This window comes from Homo sapiens, chromosome 2 (genome assembly GCF_000001405.40).
Source record: "Homo sapiens chromosome 2, GRCh38.p14 Primary Assembly".
In the NCBI taxonomy this organism is placed as follows: domain Eukaryota; kingdom Metazoa; phylum Chordata; class Mammalia; order Primates; family Hominidae; genus Homo; species Homo sapiens.
The window spans coordinates 20425015-20444508 of record NC_000002.12 but is presented as its reverse complement, the minus strand read 5'-3'; the positions used below and the strand labels follow the sequence as shown (position 1 = coordinate 20444508).

General features: G+C 45.1%; 3 annotated features.

The window, feature by feature from the left end:
- Positions 13476-13665: an enhancer, noted in NCBI's record as "active region_15391". NCBI's record gives its function as "activates an Ori minimal core promoter by ATAC-STARR-seq in GM12878 lymphoblastoid cells {active_cell/tissue: GM12878}" and the evidence as "EXISTENCE:reporter gene assay evidence [ECO:0000049][PMID:35858748]".
- Positions 14711-14910: an enhancer, noted in NCBI's record as "active region_15390". NCBI's record gives its function as "activates an Ori minimal core promoter by ATAC-STARR-seq in GM12878 lymphoblastoid cells {active_cell/tissue: GM12878}" and the evidence as "EXISTENCE:reporter gene assay evidence [ECO:0000049][PMID:35858748]".
- Positions 19400-19449: an enhancer, noted in NCBI's record as "active region_15389". NCBI's record gives its function as "activates an Ori minimal core promoter by ATAC-STARR-seq in GM12878 lymphoblastoid cells {active_cell/tissue: GM12878}" and the evidence as "EXISTENCE:reporter gene assay evidence [ECO:0000049][PMID:35858748]".

Here is a 19494-nt window from a genome sequence, read left to right as displayed (position 1 = left end):
CTTTTTTTTTTTCCTATTAGAAAAGTCTTATTTACACAAATTTTTCTTCTTTTAGTCAAAACCTTTTATAGCTGTATTGTTAACGCCGCTTTCCTTGGTCTTAATATAGCTTGGGAAACTTGGCTATGTCCTTAAACTTCAAATACCAAGAAATATGAAACAAAGCTTTGTACCATGTGTTTTTTTCTTTAAAAAACAAAGAATCCGGAAAACGGATTGAACTCCTTCGTGTTCTGATTTCCAGGAATATTATATGAGGTGTTCCAAGCTCAAATCTCAATATTGCAATAATTTCTAAAACTATGCAGTTGGTAAAAATGCCAAAGTAAACAAATAGATCTGTGTTCTGCAGTAACTTCTTTAGTAACTTCTTTTCATGGTATTTTTTTTTTTTTAGTCCAGGATACTTTGACAAGCTCTGCAGAGACTGGCTGCTTCCAAGACTGCCCCACACACAGGATAAACTTTTCCCAACTAGGTGATATGCCGGACAAGCCCCTCCCTGTCCCTTGCCCTTCATAATACACTTCCTCAGACAGGGATAAAATTTGATTCTTCTATGAGAACAAGTCATTTTATTTTATTTTATTTTTTGAGACAGAGTCCTACTCTGTCACCCAGGCTGGAGTGCAGTGGTATGATCTTGGCTCACTGTAACCTCGGCCTCCTGGGTTCAAGCAGTTCTCCTGCCTCAGACCCCCGAGTAGCTGGGATTACAGGCGTGTGACACCATGCCTGGCTAATTTTTGTATTTTCAGTACACAGGGTTTTCCCTTGTTGGCCAGGCTGGTCTCAAATTCCTGACTTCAAGTGATCCACCCACTTAGACCTCCCCAAGTGCTGGGATTACAGGCGTGAGCCACCGCCACCAGCCAAGAACAAGTCATGTTAACAATTAACTTTATTAACATATTCATCTTATGACATAATATATCCACACCTGTGAGACAGGGAAGTTGTATTTCAGACAAAAGGAGGATATTAATCTATCTCTAATCTTTAACCTAATTTATTTGGTTTTGTTTGTTTGCCAGGTGTCTCCTGTAAATCATTCTACACTCCTCAAAGACCAGAGCAGAGTTGGAATTTTCATTAGATTTTAGTGCCACCTTGCGGCAATCTTTATGGGGTCTTTTTCTTAAAAAAAAAAAAAGAAAGAAAAGAAAAGAAAACCTTTGGTCAAAAAGTATGCATTTTATGGATATTTTTATTTTAAAATATTTCAGAGCATATAAAACTCTGAATAATGTTTTACAAGTAGATTCTTAGAAATTCTTCATATGTATTTATACACACATAACTTTTTCATATACACTTTACAAAAATATTAACGAAAATGCCATTCAGTGGAAAAAAAAATTCCTTCCTAAATAGTAACTTCTAAAAGAAATTAGAAGAGAAAGATAAAGTCTATGGATCTTCACTAACTTACAGACTAATGGACTTCACTTTTCGTTTATTATAATGTACAGAAATTTAAAACAACTTTAGCCACAAAAATCATTCCGTTTTTGCCCCAGTTAAGAAAGCCATTGCTGGATACTCTGGTATAGTTAGAAGTAATAATAATTCATGTACTAGGAACCAGCAATGCAATAGACATTCCTGACAGGCATTTAATTTAAAAATATTTCCGCCGGGCGCGGTGGCTCACGCCTGTAATCCCAGCACTTTGGGAGGCCGAGGCGGGCGGATCACGAGGTCAGGAGATCGAGACCATCCTGGCTAACACGGTGAAACCCCGTCTCTACTAAAAATACAAAAAATTAGCCGGGCGTGGTAGCGGGCGCCTGTAGTCCCAGCTACTCGGGAGGCTGAGGCAGGAGAATGGCGTGAACCCGGGAGGCGGAGCTTGCAGTGAGCCGAGATCGCGCCACTGCACTCCAGCCTGGGCGACAGAGCGAGACTCCGTCTCAAAAAAAAAAAAAAAAAAAAAAAAATATTTCCTAATTTAGGAGTAGTTTAATGTCTCTAGGAAAATTGTCAATCTTCCATCTCTATGCAATGAGCTTTAAAAATGGAAAAGTTGGCCGGGAGCGGTGGCTCATGCCTGTAATCCCAGCACTTTGGGAGGCCGAGGCGGGCAGATCTTGAGGTCAGGAGATCGAGACCATCCTGGCTAACACGGTGAAACCCCGTCTCTACTGAAAATACAAAAAATTAGCCGGGCGTGGTGGCGGACGTCTGTAGTCCCAGCTACTCGAGAGGCTGAGGCAGGAGAATGGCATGAACCCTGGAGGCGGAGCTTGCAAGTGAGCCGAGATCGTACCACTGCACTCCAGCCTGGGGGAGACAGCAAGACTCCGTATCAATAAAAAAAAAAAAAAAAAAAAAAAAAGGAAAAGTTGCACTAGCTATATTATTTCACGTGGAAGAACTGAGGCAGTCCTGTCTGGCCCATTTGGAGTCCATTCACTCAGGAGTTAATGTGGCTGCGGGCCACTCAAGCTGTTTTCTGGGTGGGGTCTCCAGCTAGGAGCAACAGCAGATAAAATATCCTTCTCTTCCCCTCAGTGTGTCCCAGAGCTAAGAAGGAGAAGGCTGTGCTCAAAAGAGAACCACCATAGCTAGACTATTAAACTTAAGCACATGGGCATTGAACTCTGATCAAACCCCCCACTTGTCCAGCCCAGAGCAAGGCCGAGGGGAACAGGCAATGGGCAGTAGGACCGCTCCTGATCGCTCTAAAACTACAGTCAATACAGTAGCCAGTAACCACATGTGGCTATTAAGTACTTGAAATGTCACTAATGCCACTGAAGAACTAGGCTTTTAATATCATTTCATTTTAATTACATTTAAAAACTGTTATTTGATTCAATTTGATGGAAACTTTTAGGTATGTTTGAAACAACTTGGGTATGTAAATCTGCTTTTTCAACTGAAAATTTTATGAAATCTAAATGCAGATTCTTTTTGATAAAAATTTAGTGTCCACATTGAGATGTGCTCTAACTATAAGCTAAACACTAGAATTTAAAGACTTAGATTGAAAAACATGTACAATAGTTTATTTTTATGTTTATATTAATAACATGTTGAGGTGGTAATACTTTGGATATAGTGGATTTTTTTAAATGTATGAGATTTAATATGTTGAACATATTATTCAAATTAATTTCATCTTTTTAGATTTTATTTTTTTTTCTTGAGACAGAGTCTCATTCTGCCACCCAGGCTGGAGAGCAATGGTGTAATCTCAACTCACTGCAGCTTCCGCCTCTCAGGTTCAAGTGATTCTCATGCCTCAGCCTCCCGAGTAGCTGGGATTACAGGCATGTGTCACCACGCCTGGCTAATTTTTGTATTTTTAATAGAGACAAGGTTTTGCCGTGGTGGCCAGGCTGATCTCGAACTCCTGACCCTAGGTGATCTGCCCACCTCTGCCTCCCACAGCACTGGGATTACAGGTATGAGCCACCACACTCAGCCATCTTTTTAGCTTTTTAATGTGTCAACTAGAAAACTTAAAATTACGCATTTGAGTCACATTGTATTTCTATTGGACAGCACTGGGCTAAAATGTCTACAAGTTCAGATGGCTCCCTGGCTCCTCCTTCAGCCACCATCCTCCCAAGGGAGAGTCAGTGCTGACATGAGTCCCCTAAAATTCGTTCATCTTTCTGCTGGTAAGACTTCTTTTCATTTGTCCTAAGCTCATCACTGGGTTTCAGAGAGGTTCAGATACAGATGAACACTGAGGTTTGGAGCAATTTGGAGACTGCCCTCTTGCATTGACTGATTGCTTTCTATACCTGCCACCTCTGTCCTTTTCAGCTCCTCCCCTATAGCAACTCCCTCCCCAAAGCTCTCCAACTCATCCCCAACACCAGACAGCATTTTCTTGAACAGGAGAAGCTGCTTGGGCCTTTTTGCATGGTGACCTATTTTCCTTTCCAAAAAAGAGAATCAAAATCTAGTCCTTGTTCAATTTTGGTAGAAAAGTGGTGGGTGTGGATTGTTTTCAGGAAGTCTTCTATGAGCCTCAATCCTCTCAATTCAAGTCAGTAAACAAAGATGGAGGGGACAGAGTAGACAAGGGGAGCTGAAGGAGGGAAAGGTGAGGAGGCAAGTAGGCCCACACACCGCACACCCCACGCTATGCTACATGATGTTAAAAATATGTAAATGAATAGTGGAGTTGGCTTCCCACTGGACGCAACATTTGAACAGTGCCTTGAATAACAAGTAGGATTTTTCCAGAAAGAAAAGCTTTGCTGGGTGCAGTGGCTCATGCCTGTAATTCCAGCGCTTTGGGAGGCAAAGGTGGGAGGACTGCTTGAGCCCAGGAGTTTGAGACCAGCCTGGGCAACATAGGCAGACTTCATCTGTATAAATAAATAAATAAATAAATAAATAAATAAATTAGCTGGGCATGGTGGCATGCACCTGTGGTCCCAGCTACTTGAGAGGCTAAGGTGGGAGGATCACTTGAGCCCAGGAGGTTGAGGCTGCAACGAGTCATGATCACGCCACCACACTCCAGCCTGAGCTACAGAGTGAGGTCTTGTCTCAAAAAAAAAAAAAAAAAATTCAAAATGAAAGACAAGCCCATTTGTACCATCTGAAACATTTACTGTGTGGATTTTATATGGAGAAAGATTCTGCTTGTGTGGTTTGATAGAAAGGAGAAGCTGTGATGGGTAGAAGTAGAAAAATGATGCTCCTTGCCCATGCATGAGGTTTGCCTGATGACAGCAAAGTGTGAGGTTCCTCCAACCCTGAGAATTGGGAGGACAGAAAGGAAAGAGGAAGGTTGCAACAACTTCCCATTGGGTAAGTGCTGTCGCTACAAAATCCACCCCTGCAAATGCTTGCCAGTTTAGTGGCGTATGCTGAAATTGCACTTTTATTAATTTAACGAAAGCTACAAGAAAGTGGTGTGGAGATGCAGTGAGCAGAAGGGAGGGAGTCTTGTGCCAGGGAGCTGGAGACTTGCTTTTTAGCCCTGGCATGTCCTAGCTTCACGACCTTGAGCAAACCGTCCTTTCTAGGTCTCAGTTTCCCCATTTGTAAAATGAGAGGTAAAACTCAGGGGTCCTGCAGGTAACAACTGTGTGTGAGACATCAAGTAGTGGCAGCATTTGTGAAGAACTGGAGAACATGTCATAATGCAGCTATAGAAGCTCAGAATTTAAAAATCAACTACTGTGTTGTTCAAACAATACACAGGCGGCCAGGCACTGTGACTCATTACTGTAATCCCAGCACTTTGAGAGACCGAGGTGAGAGGATCACTTGAGCCCAAGAGTTCGGGATCGATTCTGGGCAACATAGCCAGACCCTGTCTCTATTTCTTTAAACAAGATATAAGAAGAAAGAGAGAGAGAAAGAAAAAGAGAGAAAATGCATGGGCAGCGCAGGCTAGATTTGGCCAACAGAACCAGTCCATAGCTCCTGAACTAGATGAATTTCATTTTCATTTTGAACAGATCAAGGGGGATCTCACCTGCTGAAAATAATACTGTCAGTCCTTTCATAAAGTGAAAAAAATCCCTTTAATAAAGCAAACACATTCTTTTGTTTAGTTTTATTATTCAAGACCATCTTTTATTTTAGTTGCTTAAACTGAGGTCCAAAGAATGAAATATTTCAAAGAATGGAACCTAGAGGAATGTGGTCTTAAGTAAGAAGTTGTTATTCCAGCTGAGGGGGGTTACCACACAGAGGGGCGGAAAATCTTACCCCCAATGCCTATCCAGAGGGGAACAGAACATCCAGTTTTTTCTCCTCCCTTTTTTTAGCCTTGAAAGCAAATGATCTAATCAAAGTATATTTACACAGGGATGATTCACTTGTGTTCTCTTATGATGTCAGAATATTGCAATAGGGAGGAGTTTAATTCACAATTGATTTCCACACTCCAGTGCGTTACTACTGAAGATGTGTCTGTAGCTGTTTATAGCATGAGACAGAACCTATATTAGGAGCCACTGCCCAAGACCAGGAAATAGGGGAGCAGAGGACGCATTGGTGGGAGGACCCTGTGCTTCTGCTCCAGCCGGGCTGCTCAGCACAACGTGGCACAGCAAGGGCAACTCTCCTTCCTCAGGGTCCTCAACTGGAAAGGAGAGGACAGAAAATCTCTTTCGTTGACAGCTCTTTGATAGACCTGCTTTATTTGTGGACTGTGGGGTCATGTGATTTCTGCTCAGCTTCATCACAGTGTATGTTTAAGAAAGCAGTTGATGCATTTTTAAAATTTGTATAACTTTAAGGGGTACAGATGCAGTTTTGTTACATGGATATATTGTGTGTGTAGTGGGGAGGTCTGGGCTTTTGGTGTAACCATCACCTGAATAATGTACATTGTGCCCATCAAGCAATTTTTTATCCCTCACCCGCTCCCACCCTTCCAAGTCTCCAATGTCTATTATTCCACAGTCTATGTCTATATGTACACATTATTTACCTCCCATTTATAAGTGGCAACATGCAGTACTTGGCTTTTTGAGTTGTTTCACTTAAAATAATGGCCTCTAGTTCTATGTATGTTGCTTCAAAATACATGTTTTATTTTTTTTTTCATTTTAATGGGTGAGTTGTATTCCATTGTGTATGTACACCACCTTTTCTTTATCCCACCATCCACTGATGACACTTAGGTTGATTCCACATCTTTGCTATTGTGAACAATGCTGTGATAAACTTAAGAGTGCAGGTAACTTGCCTTTGGGTAGATACCCAGTGGCGAGATTGCTGGATCGAATGGTCTTATAGCTTGGAAATCTCAACGACATGCCTAGAAAGTTCGCTCATTCATTTATTCATTCCACTAATGCCTGGTAGGTGCCTTCTCTATAGCAGGGACAGGCTATGCTTCTGTAAAGCATGGGACAGGCTGCCATGCTTTAAGGAGCTTAGGGACTGTGTATAGTTGGCATCTCACAGCTATTGAATGTCCTAAGCCTAAATAAGGTAGAGACAGGGCTTGAACCTGGCAAATACGAGGTGGGTGATGATAGTTGCTGCTCTGATTCAAGCACTCATTCTGCAAACACAGTCTGGGTCAGGAATGGGATACTGGAATAAATTAGGTACAGACCCTGCTCTCAGAAGAGCTCCAGTCCATAAATATGGAGCTCCAGTCCATAAATAGAAGCACAATACTCAACAATTAAACTATTTCAACTGAGTGTGGCAAGTATTGTAATGAGTACGCACTGGGAAGGGGCTTAAGGAGGTCAGTGAAGGCTTGTACTATGTGGTACATTGCACATTCGTGGCCCTCTATGAGCTGCACCCCCCAGTGTTCATCTCCTGGCATAGTTCTTTCCCGTGATGATCTTCAGCTTGGCCATGTAACTAGCTTAGCCAATGGAACATCAGCATTCATTGCATGGATATGCAAGCTGAAGCTTGATAAGTACTTGCACATTGGGGCTTGCTCTTTTGAAATGCTTCTTCCTGGAGAATACCCACCATGGTTTCAGGAGACTCAATTAGCCATGTGAAGAAACCCATATTGAGGAGAATTGGGCCCCTGACTCATAGCCTCAGCTAAGCTATCAGCAGGTGGCCAGCACCAACTACCACCAACTCTGGGGCCATTTGAACCCTCCACCCTAAAACCGCAGCCAACCCCATGGGAAGAAGAACTGCCTGAATCAACCTACAGAATCATAAGAAATAATGAACTGTTGCTGTCTTAACCACTATGTTTTGGGATCGCTTGTTCCACAGCAATGGATAACCAAAGCAAGCTGAGTTCCTGACGGCTGCATGGAAGTTAGCCATCCAAGAGAAGAGAGGGCATTCTAGATATGGAGGTATGCGTATCCAGGTACTAGGCAGCTCAGTACGGTGGGAATGTGGGGTATAAGGTGGCAGTTACTGGAAATGGGGAGGCTCACCTGAAGGTAAATCTGGAGTCTGCAAGACCACCCCTCATTTTGCAGATTTGCTAAAAGGATGCATAGAACTCAGCATGTAGGTGTACTCACAGCTATGATTTATTACAACAAAAGGATCAAAGCAAAAGCAGCAAAGGGAAAGGCACACAGATGAAGTCTGGGGAAAGTCAAGTGCAAGCGAAATTGTTCTTCTCGAGAATCCTGAGTTCTTTCCCAGTGGCATCACACAGGACATGCTAATTACCCCAGCAATGAGTTGTGACAACCCATGTAGAACATTGCCAACCAACAGGAATCGATGCCTAGGATTTTTCTTGGGTGGCTGTGCTGATTAATTTTTTTTTTTTTTTTTTTTTTTTGAGACAGTGTCTCGCTGTGTTCCCTAGGCTGAAGTGCAATGGCGCGATCTCGGGACACTGCAACCTCTGCCTCCCAGGTTCAAGCAATTCTCCTGCCTCTGCCTCCCAAGTAGCTGGGATTACAGGCACCCGCCATCACAGCCGGCTAATTTTTTGTATTTTCAGTAGAGACGGGGTTTCACCATGTTGGCCAGGCTGGTCTCGAACTCCTGACCTCAGGTGATCCACCCACCTCAGCCTCCCAAAGTGATGGGACTACAGGTGTGAGCCACTGTGCCCGGCACTGCTGGTTAATTTTTATGTCAACTTTGTTAGGCTATGGTACCCAGTTATTTAATCAAACACCAGACTAGATATTGCTATGAAAGTGTTTTTTAGATTTGATTAACATTTAAATTACTCAAATACTTTGAGTAAAGAAGATTATGCTCTATAATGAGGGTGGGCTTCTTCTAATTAGTTGAAGGTCTTGAGAGTAAAGACTCAGGTTTCCCTAATAAGAAGGGGGTATTCTTCCCAAAACTGCTACATAGACACCCTGCCTGAGCTTCCAGCTGCAGAATTTGGGCTCAAGGCTGCAACAACAGCTCGGAATTTCCAGCTTGCCAATCTGCCCTACGGGTTCTGAACTTGCCAGCTCCCACAATCATGAACCAATTCCTTAAAATAAACCTCTCTCGGCCAGTCACGGTGGCTCACGCCTGTAATCCCAGCACCTTGGGAGGTCGAGGCGGGTGGATCACAAGGTGAGGAGATCGAGACCATCCTGGCCAACATGGTGAAACACTGTCTCTACTAAAAATACAAAAATTAGCTGGACATTGTGGTGCGTGCCTGTAATCCCAGCTACTAGGGGGGCTGAGGCAGGAGAATCGCTTGAACCAGGGAGTCGGAGGTTGCAGTGAGCCAAGACTGTGCCACTGTACTCCAGCCTGGTGACAGAGCAAAACTCTGTCTCAAAAAAAAAATTTTTTTTTAAAAACCTCTCTCTCTCTCTCTTTCTCTCTCTCTCTGGTGTGGAGAACCCTGACTAATTCAGGGGTGGTCAAATAGGTACCTTCTGCCTGGCATGTACCCAAATTCCAGACTTTCAGAAGGAAGGCAGGTGTTCAGCATAAACCATATTGTTTAGACAAACAATTTAGGCACAGCGAGCCACTCTTGTCGGTTCCTGGTGAGAACTGTTCCAAACTCCAGGCAAGAACCAACGTGCTTCTTATGAAGCAGGGCTTCCTAAGAACAGGCAGTGAGGCCTACCATGTTTACTCTTTTCTGTAGAGAAGGTAAACAATTTAAATTGAGGGAAAAGGGAGTCAGTGAGTTTTTTTATGTAAATATGTTCCTCCACTGAAGGTTTTAAGAAGGAGGTGACATGTTTTGTTCCATGAGGTGGCAGCTGTGTTGGGGATGGCTCACAGAGGGACGAAGGAGGGAAGCAGGCTTCAGATTAGGAGGCCTAGGCCAGGCATGATGCCTCACATCTGTAATCCCAGCACTTTGGGAGACCAAGATGGGAGGTTTACTTGAACCCAGGAGTTCGACACCAGCCTGGGCAACATAGGGAGACCCTGCTTCTACCAAAAAATAAAAAATTTTAATTAGCCAGGCATGTGCTTGTAGTCTCAGCTACTCAGGCGGCTGAAGTGGGAGGATCACTTGAGCCTGGGAGGTCGAGGCTGCAGTGAGCCATGAACGAGCCACTGCATTCTAGCCTGGGTGACAAAGTGAGACCCTGTCTCAAAAACAAACAAAAAAAAGAGTGGCCTCTCTGGCTATCAGGCAGAGCAAAGGTGGAGAGGTGAAGATAGATTTGAGAAAACAGCAGGACTCTTGGTAGAAATGTCCCCACCTCCCGAGCAGTCACCTCCTCTCCCATTCAGTGGGAGCCTGGGAGCCTCAGAGAAAGTTGTATGTGTGTTATGTGTGTTGTCTGTGCTGTGTGTGTGTTGTGTGTATCTTTTGTGTGTGTGGTGTGTTGTGTGTGTGGTACATGTATTTGTGTGAGTGTGAGTGTTGGGCTATCTCGAATTTCACTCTCCTCTCCTGGGTTATCAGGTGAGAGATGAGACGGGCACCTGCCATGGCTGACAGACAGGAGGCACGGGGAGGGCTGCATCTGTATCCATGGTGGAGGTCAGTCAACCACCTGGAGACCTGAAGCCCCCACAGGCCAGGCCCTTGTCCCCCTCCTCCCTCCCATCACAGTCCACATAGGGTTTGTCCTCTCTGGGACCTCAGGGGTACACCTAGAGCTTCATAGCTGAAGGGATTTGGTGGAACATTAGGCTTTCATTATTCAAAGTGATGGTCCTGGACCAGCAACACTGGCATTTCTTGGAAGCTTTGTAGAAAAGCAGAATCCAGGCCCCAGCCCAGTCCAGGCCCTACAAGATCAGAATCTGGGTTTTAACAAGATCTCCAGGTGATTCATCTGAACATTAAAGTTTAAGAAACACCACCCTCTGCGTGTCCTGCTGCACTGGTGATGATGTGGCTGTGGTGGTTAAATCAAGCACTGGGTACCATGAAGGCAGACTGCAGCCTCCTGTTTAACTTTTGGCTGATGCTCTTGGAATTATAATAAATTATACTATAAAATAAATAAATAATATTTAAATACTACTAGTAGTACTAATGATGATGATTCTAATAGGAATAATGAGTAACAATTTGGGGACTTCATGTGTTAGCTCCTATTAAGGTCTCGATGCACGCAGTATCTCATCTAACTTCATAACATAACTTCATCTGACTTCTGTCACTAGTGACAGAATGTGTTCATAATGAGCGCCTTTTTCAGCAGCCGCCTCCCCCTTGTGCCTCTTCCGGGTGGATTCCAAGTTGGCCTGCCGACCCTCGCCCTTTCTTGTTGCCCTTAGTGGAGAGGAGACTTGAAAGGGGACTAAAGTCTAAATTGATGCACATTTTTTTTAAAGGGCCTGGAGCTTGTCCCAGAAGCAAGCACCTGGTCCAGAAGGCCAGGAAGGAGTCAAGAGAGAAGTGGAGGGAGAGGAGGGAGCCAGCCCAGCACAGAGATGCAGAAAAGAGAGGAGGAAGATTTGGGGGAGAGGCTGCCTTGACAACCAAGCTCTGGAATGGGCTGGGCAAGGAGAATGTTCAGGGAATTTTGTGTTCTGCTCTGTAGCTCCCCTTTGCCATCTCCTTGGGAGAGGTTTTTTTTTTTTTTTGTATATATTTACATTTCTTTTCCAAATATTTTTTGAGCTGGAATGATGTGCCTTCTGAATGCAACGTGGAACTGAGCTTGAACCCAAAGCGATCCGACCTTATTTGTGTTATACTCTTAGCCCCACAATTTACAGATAAGGAAGCAAAGGTTAGAGAGTTGAAATAAATTGCCTAGGCTTGTGCAGCCAGTAAATGTTGAAACCAGCTTCCCATAAGCAATCTGTGCCAGTGGACAGCAACCATGTGCCAAGTGGTTGGTTCAGATGAGCATTAAACCTCTTGTTACTATTCCCATGGCTATTTTCAGACTCCTCCAAGCAGCAGGTCTTCTTCCTCCTCCTCGTTCTCTTTTTCTTCTTCTTGTTTGTGAGACAGGATCTCACCGTGTTGCCCAGGCTGCAGTGCAGTGGTGCCATCACAGTTCACTGCAGCCTCGACTTCTGGGCTCAAGCAATCCTCCCACCTCAGCCTCTGAAGTAGCTGGGACTACAGGTATGCGCCAACACACCTAGATACTTTTTGGATTTTTTGAACAGATGTGATCTTGCTTGTTGCCCAGGCTGGTCTCAAACTCCTGGGCTCAAGTGATCCTCCCTCTTTGGCCTCCCAAAGTGCTGGGATTACAGGTGTGAGCGACCGCACCCAGCCTGGGTGGAGGGTCTTCAAATTGCCAGTTCACACACACAAGTGACTGTAGAGCTCTTGGACAGTGAATGCCATTTTGTGCACTCCCTTCCTTGAAGTATGTTTCCCAAATTGTCCCCTCATCTTCCTTTTCCTTCTCAATGAACCACCCACTCCCTTCCTGAAACAGCCTCTGTATGGGCCTCTCACAGGTGCTGTCTGTATGAGTGGACATTTCCTGAGGTCTTCATCAAGGTTTGCCCTTGTACCTTAAAGCCAGCAGCTGGGATGGCTGATCAGAAGATGGTAGGCATTTAGAGGAGAGTTGGTATAGGAGGTCTTGCCAAAACCATGCACTCCGTTAGAGATCATTTACTGAGCCCATACGGGGAAAATAGCCCTTCCTGGAGGCAACGCTCTCTGCTGCCCTCTGAAACCCTCCCTGACTTAAAAGCTCTCTTGTCAGTAAATAAAACTAAGCTCACCATGGACCTCTTTTGCCACCAAGGGTCAGAAGGGCTTCCGCTAGGCAATGTTGAAGAGATTGGCCTGTGGAAAATGTGCCTGGCTAGTAAAAAGAGGGAAACGGAAACTTCTATACTTTTTATCCTATAATGACTCAAGTATAAGAAAAATGTAGATAACAATATCAGCCACCCAGCTTTGCCAATCTTTGAATTTCTCACATTTATTTCAAATCACTTAGGTACATGTGAAACTCCTGTGTACCTCTCCCCAATCCTATTAAACATGTTATTTAATATCCCCGTGCATATATTTATACCTTTACCACATATGACTATATCAGAAAGAATATCTGGTTGGGTTTCGCATGTTTTTAACTTTTATGTGAATAGTACTATATATAACTTCTACAACTTGCTGTTTCTACTCAATGGTATGTTACAATGAAATTAGCAATGCAAATACATGTAGCTCTTGCTTATTTATTTTGCCTGGATAGTATTCCATTTTGTAACACTTATCCATCCTCCCGTGGTTGGACATTTGGGCTATTTGCAAGTTTTTTCTGATACGCACAGTGCAGAATGACCAATATTGCAATTGGATAGGTGTGTTAGCATGTGGAAGAGATTCTAGGATATGTACATGTGTCATAGGAAGGAACTTTTCATATGACAAGAATTCTGGATTGCATTTCAAATTTAGAAATTGTAGCCAAGGGGGTATGAGATGAGCACAGTGACTGCCTCCAGCTTCCACTTCAGGAGCCCCATGTCCTAAGTGAGTGAATGTGGTCATGTTTCAGCAAGAATGTGGTCCGTGACAGTGCTCTTATATCCAGACCCTGCAGAGTCACACCTGTAGACTCTGCTGTGAATCATCTATCTCATCTGTGTTCCTTTTGGATCTACAGTTGGAAACAGTGACAATTTGGAGGGTTCTGATGAGTCACACTGAGTGATAGTGAGAGAGCGGGGGAGAGGGTGTGACTGTTTAGAGGAGGGGAAATGGGTTTATCATGGGGAAATCAGGAGGACTAATGGCCATTAGCCTTTTTGGGGTAATCAACCACCCAGGAAAGATTTCTTATTCTCTTAATTCTGTGGGTTCCTCTGTTGGTCTGTCCTGGGCACTCTTGTGTGGTTAGTTTCAGCTGGAGGTTGGCTGAGCAGGAAGGCCCCATAAGGTCTCACTCCCATGTCTAGAAGTTGGTGCTGGCTGTTGGCTAGGTCACTGTGATGCCACTGCCCGTGGCCTCTCACCCTCCAAGAAGTAAACCCAGCTGCCTTACATGGTGGTCTCAGGGCAGTATTCCAATCAAGCGGAAGCAGATGAAGGTGGGACCTAAAACTCACATATTAAATAGCATCACTTCCACCGAATTCTGTTGGCCCAAGCAAGTCACAAGACCAGTCCAGATTTAAGGAGAAGACAAGTGGATGTCCCCTCTTGTCGGAAGGAGCAGGAAAGACACATTGCAAAGAAGCATGGGATGAATTGCTTCTGCCGTCTTTGAAAACAGTCTCCCATGGTTGAGCAATTTGGGCAGAGATGGAACTTTAACATTCACCCTTGAGATTTTAGCTAGAGTCTTCTATGCAATTTCCTAAATAAATCAGGATGATATAACTCATCAGCCTGGCTTTCCTGGCTAGAAGGTGGTTCACAGGACTGCTGGTCCTCCTCTTTATCAGAAGTCCAACAAGGCAACTACCTTCAACCTTTGTGAATTCTTTGATACTTATTTTTTAAGCACTTCGTGTATACAGTGCATTGTGCTCGGTGCCTGGCACACAACAGTGAACAAAACAGGTGTGCAGAGGAAATGTAAGTGGGCGCTCTGACCTTGTGCCATGGGAAACTTCCCAAGGAAGATATGTGAGCTAGATTTTCAAAAACAAATAGGCATTATGCAAGCTGAGGGAGTGGGGAGGGTGGTAAACGGGAATACTTCAGGCAAGAGAAACATTATGTAGTAGGGTCCTAGAGAGGCAAGAAGCCTGCATGTCTGAGGAACTGAGAATTAAACAGAAGAAAGGCGAGAATTGACCGGATGAGATTGGAAAACAGGCAAGGCTCCAGGTCGTGCAGGGCTTTATAGACCATGTAAATAAAGGGTTTTGTTCTATCCTGAGAGTAACAGAAATGTGTAGGTATGTGTTATGGACTGAACTGTGTGCCCCCAAGTTTATATGTTGAAGCTCTGTCTCCTAGTGTGACTGTATTTGGAGACAGAGCCTTTAAGGAGATAATTAAAGTTAAATGAGGTCATAGGGTGGGGCCCTAACTCAATAGGACTGGTGTTCTCATAACAAGAGGAATAGAAACCAAGACAGCTGCGGCACAGAGGCAAGGCTGTGTGAGGACACAGGGAGAAAATGGCCTTCTGCAAGCCAAAAAGAAAAGCCATAGTATAAACCAACCTGCTGGCACCTTGATCATGGACTTCTAGCCTCCAGGTTGTAAGAAAATAAATTTCTGTTGTTTAAGCCACCCAGTCTCAGATACTTTGTTATGGCAGCCCTAGGAGACTAATACAGCCTGTGAAATACTGAGATTTATGCTCCCAAGAAATCACCCTGGTTGTCTCGTGGGGATGGACCCAAGAAACAAAAATTGTCTCAGGAAGATAATCTAGGAGGCCGTAGCAAATATCTATGCAGGAGTAGGGCTGGCCTGCAGTAGGCTGGCTGCAGTGAGGATAGAGAGAATGGAGGCATGACCGAGAGGGGAGGCAGGGACCATTTAGAGGGAGGACGGGGTGGAGGCCTGATTGGAGGAGATCCATTGAGGAGTTCTGGGGAGGAATGTCAGTGCTCTTCAGTTTGGCTACAAAGAGAAGAGAGATGGGCAATAGATAGAGGATGAAGTGGAATAGAGTTTTGTTTTCTTATAAAATGAATGACACATAAGAATTTGCTTTTGAAACAGGGTCTCACTCTGCCACCCAGACTGGAGTGCAGTGGTGTGATTATAGCTCACTGCAGCCTCAAACTCCCGGGCTCAAGTGACCCTCCTGCCAGGAGGCTGTGGTCCCAGCATCCCGAGTAGCTGGGACCACAGTTGCACGTCACCACACCCAGCTAATTTTTAAAATTTTTGTAGAGGCAGGGTCTCGCCATGTTGCCCAGGCTGGTGTTGGACTCCCAGCCTCAAGCAGTCATCTTGCTCCGACTTCCCAAAGTGCTGGGATTACAGGCATGAGCCACCATGCCCAGCCCCATATAAGCATTTTAAATGCCGCTGGAAGGCTGGCTAGAAAGAAGACTTGAATAAAAGTGTCAGGTTCCACCCGGGGAGATAGGAGGCATCACATCCAAACTGCATGTGCTTTATGAGAGAGGGAATGAAGGAAAGAAAGTAATGTATAAACAAGAGAATGAATGAATGAATGAAAAGCACCTTTCTGTATGCACTAAACTATATTGTTAGTTAGAGGCTGCAATGCAGCCGCCATCCATTTTGAGGGTACATCACCTACCCAGTGAACCTATTCATAAAGCAGCTTGGGCTCTTTCCTCCTCCTTCAGCTGTATGTTTCCGATGCCCCACATGGCCATGGGCATGAGCTAAGGGAGCTACTGCCCAGGGATCCTGCTTGCTTGTACCCTCCAGTCCTGTTCATGCCCAGTTCCAGGCGTGCCTCTTCTGTCTCACTATGGCCTGCAGCTGGGCCTGCTGCACTCTGATTTGGTGGTTCTGATATGACTCAGTTCACAATGGGCAGTTTCAGCTTCATGGTCACTTGGTGTCCCATGCTCAGGTGATCAGTCTATCGTAGGGCCCAGAAGCATGCCAGTTGTTCAAGAGGCATTTAGTTCTCCACTGCAGAGGCCACGGCTTCACTCCAGTACCCAAGGGCCTGCACTGTGATTCTCCATTGGGACTGGCAGGAAACCTCACACGGCAGCTTCTCCCATCACTGACACCTCCCCGTCCATAGGTCTAGAGGATCACATGCCCCAAGAGGCAGAGGTGCTGGCAGCTGCAGCCGGGCCCTGCCCCAGAGCCCTTTCGTGTCGTCCAGTGGATGGGCCTGGCACAGTCCGCTCAGCCTTTCCCACCCTTCTAGTGACACATGATTTCCAGATGTCCGTGGCCACAAAAGGGAGTAAATATATAATTTTAACAACTACCCACCCCCCGCCCAATTCGTATTCCATCCTTGCAATTTCCCTGGAAGCCCAGGCTTAAGCTTTTTGTCTTTCAGATGAGGAAACTGAGGCCTAGAGTGGTAGAGACTTGTTTATGAATGCTATACAGTGGGAGACAGAACCAGCAAGAAAACCAGGAGCCTTGGACTGAGCAGTAAAATGTTTTAGAAACAGGGAAAGTCGGGTAGAGTGGAGGAGAGCATGGTAGAGGGTGCCCAAGTAGATTAACAGCCAGCTCCAGCCTGGCTGACTAGAGGAAGATATGACTCTAAAAGTTGCCTGATTAAACCAAGGTCATTGTATTAGTCAGTTATCATGCTACTAGGAAGAAATACCTGAGACTGGGTAATTTATAAAGAAGAGAGTTTTCATTGACTCACAGTTCTACACGGCTGGCTGCGGAGGCCTCAGAAAACTTATACAGTCACGGTGGAAGGCACCTCTTCACAGGGCAGCAGGAGGGAGAATGAGTGCCAAGCTAAGGGGGGATGCCCCTTATAAAACCATCAGATCTCGTGAGAACTCACTATCACGAGAACAGCATGGGGAAAACCACCCCCATGACTGAATTATTTCCACCTGGTTCCACCCTTGACACATGGGGATTATTACAGCTCAAGGTGAGATTTGGGTGGGGACACAGAGCCAAACCATATCAGTCATCCCTTAGCACATGGAAGTGGATGGTGTGGCTCGGGCAATCCTCAAGACTCTGCCTCAACCCTCATCTCCCTCTACACTCCCCCCTCACCCCAAAATCCAGGCTATTTAGAAGACCAAGTGTTTGACACCCACTTATAGTAGATGAAACCAAATTAGGTGCTCAATGAAACCCAAGAATATTCCAATAAAAGATAAGAGAACTAAGTCAAGGACTTTGAGCTCCCTTTTCTCTAATGTTCATTTTAAAAGCAGCAAACTTAACTCTTAGCAGAATCACCTGCAGGGTTTTCCCAAACTCAGATTCTGAGCCTCGCTCCCAGGGTTTCTGATCCAGTAGGTCTGATCAGGGCCCAAGAAAATGCACTTTTCTCACAAGGTCCAAGGTGATGCTGTGGTCAGCATCACCAGAGAAGCAGAACCAATAGATGCATGTGTGTGTGTGTGTGTGTATGTGTGTGTGTGTGTGTGTGTGTGTAAAAAGATTATTTATAAGAAATTGGGCTCAGTGCAGTGCTTCATGCCTGTAATCCCAGCACTTTGGGAGGCCGAGGTGGGAGGATCACTTGAGCCCAGGAGTTTAAGACCAGCCTGGACAACATGGCAAAACCCCATCTCTACAAAAAAATATACAAAAATTATCTGGGCATAGCTGGGCATAGGCCCAGCCACTCAGGAGGCTGAGGTGAGAGAATCACCTAAGCCCAGAAAGTCAAGGTTGTGGTGAGCCATGATGGCACCACTGCACTCTATCCTGGGCAACAGCGTGAGACCTTGTCTCAAAGATAAGCATATATATATTTCTTTGGAAAGCCAGGCTTTCCAGAAAAAAATTGGCTCACAATTATGGAGGCTGACAAATCCTAAATCTGTAGTCAGGAAGATGGAGACCCAGGAGAGTTACTGGTGTAGTTCCAGTCTAGAAGTCTGCAGGCTGAAGACCTAGGAGGAGCTAATGTTTCAGTTTGAGTCTGAGAACTTAAAAAAAAAATGATGTCCCAGCTCAAAAGCAGTCAAGCAGGAGGCATTCTCCCTTACTTGTGGCAGGGTCAGCCCTTTGTTCTATTCAGGCCTTCAACTGATTGGATGGCGCCCACCCACACTGGGGAGGACAATTTTTATTCAGCCTGACATTTCAAATGTTAACATCAGCCAGATGTGGTGGCTCACGCCTATGATCCTAGCACTTTGGAAGGCTGAGGAGGCAGGCTGCCTGAGGCCAGGAGTTCAAGACCAGCCTGGGTAACATGGTGAAACCCTTCTCTACTAAAAATACAAAAAATTAGCTGAGCATGGTAGTGTGTGTCTGTAGTCCCAGCTACTCAGCAGGCTGAAGCGCGAGAATCGCTTGAACCTGGGAAGTGGAGGTTGCAGTGAGCTGTCTTTAAAAAAAAAAAAAAGTTAACATCATGTTAACATCATCCAGAAACATCTTCACAGAGACACCTAGAATAACATTTGGCCAGATATCCAGGCACCCCATCGCCCAGTCAGGTTGACTCATAAAATTAATTATCACGGATGCTGCTGCTGCTGCTGCTGCTGCTGCTGTGTGACCAAACTTTGAAAATCACTGCTTGGGAGTGTCTGCCTCTCTTTGAGGTGGGGTTAAATCATTATCTCCCCATCTCACAACCTACAGGGGGAACACCTATGATCACAGGACAGGAGTCACAGCAGGATAGACACAGCCAGCCACAGTGGCCAAGCTTGACTGGCTGGCAGACTGTTGGGGGCATAGAGTCTTCGGCTGAGTGGCTGGAATCCTGTGTTGCTCATCATCAGATCCCAAAAGACACTTCATCTCCCTGGGCTCCAGCTTCATTTAGGATCCGCAGATAATACACAGGAACTACTAACACTAAAACATTATTTGCTATTTATCTGAAATTCAAATTTAACCTGCATCCTTTTTCTCTTTTTTCTTTCTTCTTCTTTTTTTTTGCTAAATTTGGCAACAGGGCAGGCCACTGCTGCTGTCATTAGAAAGACTCATTTCAGCCCAGGCAAGGGGAGGAGAGCAAACCCAGAGATGGTAACCTGCTCCCCTGAACCAGAGGAAGCAGAGACCTTCTCACAAGGACCAGGCGAGGGATGTGAGTCGGCCTGAAGGGAGGGTGGGAGATGTCCGGGCTCACTTAACCACAGAAGGGTGGACCTCTCAGACCAACACTGACACCAGCAGTAAAC